The sequence below is a fragment of the Homo sapiens genome, chromosome 7 (genome assembly GCF_000001405.40).
Source record: "Homo sapiens chromosome 7, GRCh38.p14 Primary Assembly".
Classification (NCBI taxonomy): Eukaryota; Metazoa; Chordata; class Mammalia; order Primates; family Hominidae; genus Homo; species Homo sapiens.
Genome location: NC_000007.14, coordinates 8,343,282 through 8,353,489, shown reverse-complemented (window position 1 = coordinate 8,353,489; position 10,208 = coordinate 8,343,282). Strand labels below are relative to the sequence as shown.

The 10,208-nt window shown below is 41.4% G+C and overlaps 2 annotated features.

The window, feature by feature from the left end:
* Positions 762 to 1,391: an enhancer, noted in NCBI's record as "NANOG-H3K27ac-H3K4me1 hESC enhancer chr7:8391729-8392358 (GRCh37/hg19 assembly coordinates)". NCBI's record gives its function as "activates a minimal SCP1, AML or CMV promoter by ChIP-STARR-seq in naive H9 embryonic stem cells {active_cell/tissue: H9 hESC(naive)}" and the evidence as "EXISTENCE:reporter gene assay evidence [ECO:0000049][PMID:30033119]".
* Positions 1,392 to 2,023: an enhancer, noted in NCBI's record as "NANOG-H3K27ac-H3K4me1 hESC enhancer chr7:8391097-8391728 (GRCh37/hg19 assembly coordinates)". NCBI's record gives its function as "activates a minimal SCP1, AML or CMV promoter by ChIP-STARR-seq in naive H9 embryonic stem cells {active_cell/tissue: H9 hESC(naive)}" and the evidence as "EXISTENCE:reporter gene assay evidence [ECO:0000049][PMID:30033119]".

Sequence of the window (10,208 nt, the reverse complement as noted above, 5' to 3'; positions counted from 1 at the left end):
GCTGGATATGAAATTCTGGGTTGAAAATTCTTTTCTTTAAGAATGTTGAATATTGGCCCCCACTCTCTTCTGGCTTGTAGGGTTTCTGCCGAGAGATCCACTGTTAGTCTGATGGGCTTCCCTTTGAGGGTAACCCGACCTTTCTCTCTGGCTGCCCTTAACATTTTTTCCTTCATTTCAACTTTGGTGAATCTGACAATTATGTGTCTTGGAGTTGCTCTTCTCGAGGAGTATCTTTGTGGCGTTCTCTGTATTTCCTGAATCTGAACGTTGGCCTGCCTTGCTAGATTGGGGAAATTCTCCTGGATGATATCCTGCAGAGTGTTTTCCAACTTGGTTCCATTCTCCCCATCACTTTCTGGTACACCAATCAGACGTAGATTTGGTCTTTTCACATAGTCCCATATTTCTTGGAGGCTTTGCTCGTTTCTTTTTATTCTTTTTTCTCTAAACTTTCCTTCTCCCTTCATTTCATTCATTTCATCTTCCATTGCTGATACCCTTTCTTCCACTTGATCACATCGGCTCCTGAGGCTTCTGCATTCTTCACGTAGTTCTCGAGCCTTGGTTTTCAGCTCCATCAGCTCCTTTAAGCACTTCTCTGTATTGGTTATTATAGTTGTACATTCTTCTATATTTTTTTCAAAGTTTTCGACTTCTTTGCCTTTGGTTTGAATGTCCTCCCGTAGCTCAGAGTAATTTGATCATCTGAAGCCTTCTTCTCTCAGCTCTTCAAAGTCATTCTCTGTCCAGCTTTGTTCCATTGCTGGTGAGGAGCTGCATTCCTTTGGAGGAGGAGAGGCGCTCTGATTTTTAGAGTTTCCCGTTTTTCTGTTCTGTTTTTTCCCCATCTTTGTGGTTTTATCTACTTTTGGTCTTTGATGATGGTGACGTACAGATGGGTTTTTGGTGTGGATGTCCTTTCTGTTTGTTAGTTTTCCTTCTAACAGACAGGACCCTCAGCTGCAGGTCTGTTGGAGTACCCTGCAGTGTGAGGTGTCAGTGTGCCCCTGCTGGAGGGTGCCTCCCAGTTAGGCTGCTCGCGGGTCAGGGGTCAGGGACCCACTTGAGGAGGCAGTCTGCCCGTTCTCAGATCTCCAGCTGCATGCTGGGAGAACCACTGCTCTCTTCAAAGCTGTCAGACAGGGACATTTAAGTCTGCAGAGGTTACTGCTGTCTTTTTGTTTGTCTGTGCCCTGCCCCCAGAGGTGGAGCCTACAGAGGCAGGCAGGCCTCCTTGAGCTGTGGTGGGCTCCACCCAGTTCGAGCTTCCCGGCTGCTTTGTTTACCTAAGCAAGCCTGGGCAATGGCGGGCGCCCCTCCCCCAGCCTCGCTGCCGCCTTGCAGTTTGATCTCAGACTGCTGTGCTAGCAATCAGCGAGACTCCGTGGGGTAGGACCCTCTGAGCCAGGTGGGGGATATAATCTTGTGGTGCGCCATTTTTTAAGCCCGTCGGAAAAGCGCAGTATTCAGGTGGGAGTGACCCGATTTTCCCGATTTTCCAGGTGCCGTCCATCATCCCTTTCTTTGATTAGGAAAGGGAACTCCCTGACCCCTTGCGCTTCCCGAGTGAGGCAATGCCTCGCGCTGCTTTGGCTCGTGCATGGTGCGTGCACCCACTGACCTGCGCCCACTGTCTGGCACTCCCTAGTGAGATGAACCCGGTACCTCAGATGGAAATGCAGAAATCACCCGTCTTCTGCGTCGCTCAGGCTGGGAGCTGTAGACCAGAGCTGTTCCTATTCCGCCATCTTGGCTCCTCCCCCACCCCCCGCCCAATCCTAAGTTTATCTCTTAACAAAGTAAATACTGCACACGTATTTACATGTTTTAAAATATTGTTTATGGAGCACTTACTATGTGTTTTACGGTCCAAGTACTTTATATTATTCACTGACTCTTTATAGCAACTCTATAACATATTAATAGATTGTCTCAATTTCACTGATGACAAAACTGGCAGCTTAGTAACTAATGAGTAACAATACCAGCCCCTAAAACCTAGGGTCTTTCCACTACAGCACACTCTGACTGACATTGCTCTTGTTCAGACACAGCACTCTTCACCTAGAAAAGGATGGAGAGCTAGAAAGTGGTTTTCTTTTTCAAGTTGTTCCCATTCATCAATATTCTATCAAGATATATGGAAGAGTTATTTTCTAGGTCTTCCAGGAGGGGCTGCTGACACTTGGGAATTCAAAATAATTACTCCAGAGGGAAATGTGGGCATAGAAACTTTTTAAAAACTGAATTTTCCCGATCTAATATCGGCTTCCACATACAGTATATTATTTCTTAAAAATCAGCCAGAAATGCACCTGCAGTTTTATCTACTGGATTTTCCTTTCCCAGCCCCATTCTTCTTTAAGTAGTTTTTTTTCCCCATTTTATAAAAGAAAAGCATACCTCCCACCTATAGCTTCCCTCCTTATGGTATATTATCTCAGGGGATAATTTGAAATATTGCTTGAGACACAATTCTCATTAAGAAATAAACTTTCCGGCTGGGTGCAGTGGCTCACACTTGTAATCCCAGCACTTTGGGAGGCCAAGGCGGGGGAGGATCCCTGAAGGCCAAGAGTTCAAGACCAGCCTGGAATATATACCAAGATCCCCTCTCCACAAAAAAAAAAAAAAAAAAAATAGCCACACATGTAGTCCCAGCTACTTGGGAGGCTGAGATGGGAGGATCACTAGAGCCCAGGAGCTCAAGGCTGCAATGATTGCATCACTGCACTGAAGCCTTAGCAATAGAACAAGGCCCCGTCTCAAAAAAATTTTCAATGATTTTTCAATATTTTGCAATAATTTAATATGTTTACTTTGGTTTTATAAATTCTTAATTAACAAAAGTGTCATTGCTACTTAGAGCCTTACCAAATTTTTAAAAATTTTTAATTTATAAACATATTGTGATAACAGATAAATATGATAGGATGATCAATAAAACACTGTCAAACAAAAATATGTACTTCATTAGGATAAAATGAAGTGAGAGAAGTGAGAAAAAAGAACGTAAGAATAATGTTAAATGACTGACTCTTAAAGAAGAGTTTGTTCTTGTAATTTTAATGGATAGTGGTGGATATCAAATCACTGTCATATTAGATTCCCACTGCATATATTTAAATATGACTAACATAATAGTTTTATTTTAAAAGAAATATGGTTTTCAGGCAAGTTTAGGGCCTCAAAAAATGCCATATTGATTTGCTATTCTTAACAGAGATGAGCTCAGGAAATAGGATGAGTACCAAAGGCCAATATTCAGACTCTAATGAATGCATGCAGGTTGGTATAATTTCCTCTCCTCTAATCCCATTATATTCATTTCATGAAAAATGCTTTCATATTATACCATTTCCTCTTCTGGTTAATATCTTTGTCACGTGGGAAGATATCAGCCTTTAATGATTTAGTTATTTAAACTTTTTTGATAATCTCTGTCCTTTGATCGACCCTTCCACTTCACCTCTTCTCCAGTCACAAGAACTGAGTAAAAGAATTGTCAGCAAATCAAGTTACAGAGTGTTGGAAAGGTTATTGTGCCAGGAACTGCTATTATCTTTCTGACAAAAATTATAACAAGCACAGGAAAAGGTGCAACTAGAATTCATTAATAACCTACCACTCAGAAATAGAGGATACCATGGTGCAGATTTTAGAAACAATATAAATGGTTGATATTCAAAGAAATGCCATAATTCATGTTCAGAATTGATTTTCCTTACCTTTTTGCTGAGACTGTCAATAAATGAAATGGCTATTAAATTCAGCAACAGTGGAGTAATATGATGCATGTCAACTAAGAAATTGGAAGTTGCTTCATCATTCACCACCATTACAAATACTTGCCTGAATGCTCAACATAATGCAGCCCATCAGACCTTGGGGTTCAGTTCAATAAAGGCACATGTCAGTCCTGGAAGATTTTTGTGATAGCATGTTCTCACCAGCATACTTCTCCTAAAGCAGGAGTGGAAATACACACACACTACAATGAGAAGATACAACCTTTGATGGTAACACATTTCACTTTTTGGCATGTCTATAAATTTAGACTTTATGGAAAAATATTATTAAGTTGGAAATGATTTCAAATTCAAATTAGCACTTATTGTAAAATAAATATTCATTTTATAACCACAAAAATAATTTTAGCCAACATTTATTGAGTGCTCTCCACCATGAAGTATACATACTTTACATATTGGATTATTCAGGCATCATGACAACACTTTGAAGTAGATGCTTCTATTACCTTCATTTTAAATACAAGAAGCCCAGGATTTAAAAAGGTAAATACGCCGGGCACAGTGGCTCATGCCTGTAATCCCAGCACTTTGGGAGGCCAAGGCAGGCAGATCACGAGATCAGGAGTTTGCAACCAGCCTGACCAACATGGTGAAACCCTGTCTCTACTAAAAATACAAAAATTAGCTGGGTGTAGTTGTGGGCACCTGTAATCCCAGCTACTCAGAAGGCTGAGGCAGGAGAATCACTTGAACCCAGGATGCAGAAGTTGCAGTGAGCTGAGATCACACCATTGCACTCTAGCCTGGGTGACAGAGTGAGACTCCATCTCAAAAAAAAAAAAAAAGTTAAATAAATTGTCTAACGCCATTTGTCAAATAAGGTAGAGAAGCCCAACTCCAGCCCAGGACTGAAAGCCCTCGATCTAAAACTGCTCTTTCCAATATGGTGGTAATAGCACTTGAAATGTGGTCAGTCAAAATTGAAATGTACTGTATGTGTAAAATATACACGATATTTTAAAGACTTAGAATTTTGAAAAGAAGTTACTTATCTCAAGAATAACTTTTTGTTTCAGAGACGGAATCTTGCTCTGCTGCTCAGCCTGGAGTACAGTGGCACAACCAGGATTGCAGCCTCAAATTCCTGGGCTCAAGTTATCCTCCCACTTCAGCCTCCTGAGTAGCTGAGACTACAGGCATGCACCATCATGCCCAGCTAATTTTTTTTTATTTTTAGTAGACACAAGGTCTTGCTATGTTGCCCAGGCTGATCTTGAACTCCTGGCCTCAAGCAGTTCTCCCACCTTGGCCTCCCAAAGTGTGATTACAGGAGTGAGCCGCCATGCCTGGCCTGAAGAATAATTTTTAAATAATTACATGTTGAAATGACAATTTTCTGGCTATGTTGGGTTAAATTTAAAATATTACTAAAATTAATTTCATATTTTCATTTTTTCTGTTTCCAAAGAGGCCACTAAAAAAATTTTAAATGTATGTGATTAATGTATGTGATTCACAATATATGTCTATCATACAGTGCTGATGTAAACCATTGCGTATAGCACCATCTTTATAGGTACGTAAGGATGGATGGGTTGATGGATAGATATATATTTTAGTATAGAATAATATTAAAATATAAAAGGATGTAAAAATATTAACAGTGGTGTGTTAGTCAGCTTGGACTACCATAACAAAATACCATAGACTGGGTGGCGTAAAAAACAAATTTATTTTCACAGTTCCAAAGGCTAGAAGTTCAGGGTCAAGGTGCCAGCATGATCACATTTCTGTCTTGGAGATGGCCATCTTCTTTGTGTGTCCCAACATGGAAGAGATAGCCAATGAGCTCTGGTTTGTCTCTCCCTGTTTTCATAAGGGCACAAATCCTATTGGATTAGGGTCCTCATGACCTTGTTTAACCTTGTTTACCTCCCAAAGGCCCCTTTTCAAATACTATCACTGTATTAGTCCGTTTTCATGCTGCTGATAAAGACATACCCAAGACTGGGCAATTTACAAAAGAAAGAGGTTTAATTGGACTTACACTTCCACATGGCTGGGGAGCCTCACAATCATGGTGGAAGACAAGGAGGAACAAATCATGTCTTACATGGATGGCAGCAGGCAAAGAGAGGGAGAGAGAGGGCTTGTGAAGGGAAACTCTCATTTGTAAAGCCTTCAGAGCTCATGAGACTTATTCACTATCACAAGAACAATATGGGAAAGACCCGTCCCTGTGATTCAATTACCTCCCACTGTTTCCTCTCATCATACATGGGAATTGTGGAAGTTACAATTAGAGATGAGATTTGGGTGGGGACACAGCCAAACCATATCATTCCACCCCTGGCCCCTTCCAAATCTCATGTCCTCACATTTCAAATCCAATCACGCCTTTCTAATATTCCTCCAAAGTCATAACTCATTTCAGCATTAACTCAAAAGTCCACAGTCTCAGACAAAGCAAGTCCCTTCAGCCTATGAGCCTATAAAATCAAAAGCAAATTAGTTACTTCCTAGATACAGTGGGGGTTCAGGCATTGGGTAAATACAGCCATTCCAAATGAGAGAAATTGGCTAAAACAAAGGGGCTACAAGCCCCATGCAAGTCTGAAATCCTGTGGGGTAGTCAAATCTTAAAGCTCCAAATGATCTCCTTTAACTCGATGTCTCACATCCAGGCTTTGAAGGGTACAGACTCCCTCCCAGCTGCTTTAACAGGCTGGCATTGAGTGTCTGTGGCTTTTTCAGGCAAACAGTGTAAGCTGTTGGTGGATCTAGCATTCTGGGTTCTGGAGGATAGTGATGACCCTCTTCTCACAGCTCCACTAGGTGGTGTCTCAGTAGAGATCTGTGTGGGGACTCCAACCCCACATTTCCCTTTTGCATTGCCCTCATAGGGGTTCTCCATGAGAGCCCTGCCCCTGCAGCAAACTTCTGCCTGGGCATCCAGGCATTTCCATACATCCTCTGAAATCTAGGCAGAGGTTCCCAAACTTCAATTCTTGACTTCTGTGCACACACAGGCTCAACACCACATGGAAGATGCCAAGGCTGGGGGCTTGTACCCTCTGAAGCAACAATCTGAGCTGTACCTTGGCCCCTTTAGTCATGGCTGGAGCAGCTGGGATGCAGGACACCAAGTCCCTAGACTGCACACAGCGAGGCACCCTGGGCCCAGCCCACAAAACCACTTTTTCCTCCTTGGCCTCTGGGCCTGTGATGAGAGGGGCTGCTGTGAAGACCTCTGACATGCCCTTGAGACATTTTCCCCATTGTCTTGGGGATTAACATTTGGCTCCTCATTACTTATGCAAATTTCTGCAGCCAGCTTGAATTTCTCCTCAGAAAATGGGATTTTCTTTTCTATCACATTGTCAGGCTGCAAGTTTTCTGAACTTTTATTCTCCATTTCCCTTTTGAAACTGAATGCCTTTAACAGCACCCAAGTGGTGAACCAGGTCACCTCTGGAATGCTTTGCTGCTTAGAAATTTCTTCTGCCAGATACCCAAAATTATCTCTCTCGAGTTCAAAGTTCCACAAAGCTCTAGGATGGGGGCAAAATGCCCAGGGGCAAAATGCTGCTAAACATAACAAGAGTCACCTTTGCTCCAGTTCCCAAGAAGTTCCTCATCTCCATCTGAAGCCACCTCAGGCTGGACTTCATTGTCTATATCACTATCAGCATTTTGGGCAAAGTCATTCAACAAGTCTCTAGGAAGTTCCAAACTGTCCCACGTTTTCCTGTCTTCTTCTGAGCCCTCCAAACTGTTCCAACCCCTGCCTGTTACCCAGTTCCAAAGTCGTTTTCACATTTTCGGGTATTTACAGCAGCAACCCACTCTACTGGTACCAATTTACTGTATTAGTTCATTTTCACACTGCTGATAAAGACATACCTGAGACTGGGCAACTTACAAAAGAAAGACATTTAATGGACTTACAGTTCCACATGGCTGGCGAGGCCTCACAATCATGGTGGAAGGCAAGGAGGAAAAAGTCATGTCTTACATGGATGGCAGCAGGCAAAGAGAGGGAGAGCTTATACAGGAAAACTCCCATTTTTTAAAGCCATCAGATCTCGTGAGACTTATTCACTATCATAAGAACAGCATGGGAAAGACCCGTCCCCATGATTCAATTACCTCCCATTAGTTTCTTCCCACAACACATGGGAATTGTGGGAGTTACAATTCAAGATGAGATTTGGGTGGGGACACAGCCAAACCATATTAATCACATTAGGGGCTAGGGCTTCAACATATGAATTTTGGAGAACATCATTCAGTCCGTAAAAAATAATTATCTCTGGATAGTTGAATTACAGGTAATTTGTATTTTTCTCTTTATTTTGTTCTGTCCCAATAATTGTATGTATTTCTTTTTTAATCATAAAACACACATAGGCCAGGTGTGGTGGCTCATGCTTGTAATCCCAGCACTTTGGGAGGCTAAGGTGGGAGAATCACTTGAGCCAAGGAGTTCGAGACCAGCCTGGGCAATACATGGAGAAACCCCATCTCTACAAAAAATTAGCTGGATGTGGTTATGCATGCCTGTAGTCCCAGCTGCCCAATAGGCTGAGGTGGGAGGATTGCTTGAGCCCAGGAGGTCGAGGCTACAGTGAGCCATGATAGCTCCACTGCACACCACCCTGGGTGACAAAGCAAGACCCTGTCTCAAAAAAGGAAAAAAGAAAGAAAAGAAAACACACCTGTATTTCCATTACAATGCTATTGTGACAAAAGCTTTAGGGTCATTCTTCAGGATTCTTCTTTGTGTTATAATTTTATAATAAAGATTAAAATGTTCATCAACATTAGGCATTTATTTCTTATGTGGTATTATTTTGCTTCAGTGAGCACTTTCATGATTTGTAACTTCCAAATGGTGAGTTGTCTCTAATGTTTAAGAGACTCTGGCAGGACCAAACCACCCAGGGTAATGCTCAGAGGTTCTCCCTCTGCCCCAAGGAGAAGCTCCTGCCCTTTTGCCTGTGATTCTAGTGGCTCTGGAAGTATGAAGAAACAAGAAGGATGGCTCAAGTGCGGAATATGCTAAGGACTCCAAGCAGAAAGCTCAATGCCAATGCATGAGCAGACACAAGAATTGACCTTGCTTATCCGTCACATATTTCAAACATTCATCTCTTTGTAGATAAATAAGGGATATTAAAAATACACAAAGATATACATTTATATGTATGTAACTATAATATATTATTCTTTATATGAAACCTGATGAAATTTTCAGGCTCATTTAACCAGTAGTCAAATGACCAGGAAACCAGGTGGGAGCTACAGACCAAGATATTTTTGGATAATAGGATGCTAAATGGGAAAGACAGATTAGTTACAAGCATTTGATTCTCAACAGATTTCGTGTCTCCCTCTCTACCCCCATTCCAATAACTATGTCTGCTAGCTATTGAATAACGGGGTTTAAAATCTCCTGGACTATTATCATAGCTGCAGTAGCAATCTTTTAACACGGTGCTTGCTCATTCAACCCCTATTATAATTTTCAGTGAAGTAAAATATCACAAAGTCATTCAAATTCATAGACTAAAGATATATCTATAGTGACAAAGTAAAGTATAGGATAAAATTCATTATCCTGATAAATTGATGAACATGGACAGTCACTCTGAATAATTTGAGCCAAAGGAACTTTTTCCTCTCAATGGTTGGATATTTTTGGCCTGATTTATCCACATAATTGCCTCAGCTCTTCATTTCATTTTGCCCATGTCAACACAACAAAGTCTCTGTACTTGATTTTTGAAAGCTTCAGTATTTCATGTCACGTTAGCAAGTGAGACGCACATAGCAAATTCTGGATGGGGTTCTTGTGACAAATGACTTCTATGGTTTGCACGTGTCTCCTCAATGACAGCTGCTGGGAAGAAACATCACCTCCCAGCTGCACAACTTGATCCCTCTCTCCCTTGTGAATTAGGAGGAATTGAATGTTTGGCTGTAAAGTGGCACTTCGCACTACTCTCGTTGAATATCACAATTGTGCCTGCACAAAAGGAAACAAAAAACCTCATCATTGGCAACTGATGGGAGAAAAAATAGTCCTCTCATTACAGAGATAATAAGCAGGATGTTCCCCTGCAGCCTTCTTTCTTAATTCTCCTTATTGTATTTTATTAAATGATGCAGTTTGAAATTAAGGCTCTGGCAACCTTTGTGCACACTCTGCATAAACAAGCAAAACAGAAACACAGTTAAAAGAGCAAGTATAAACCCCTCCCAAAAGCCATCTGCTTTCTTCTTGTTATGAAACTTCAATTCATCAGCAAAAGTCTAAAGAAAATATTTATAGCAGAAATGTAAGCTGCATTCTGAAGCTGCTTGGAAGCAGGGTTAGTGGAACATTAGAAAACTCAGTTAGGCTGTGTCACTTAGTAACAAATCTAGAACTGGTCATTTAACCTGCCTCAT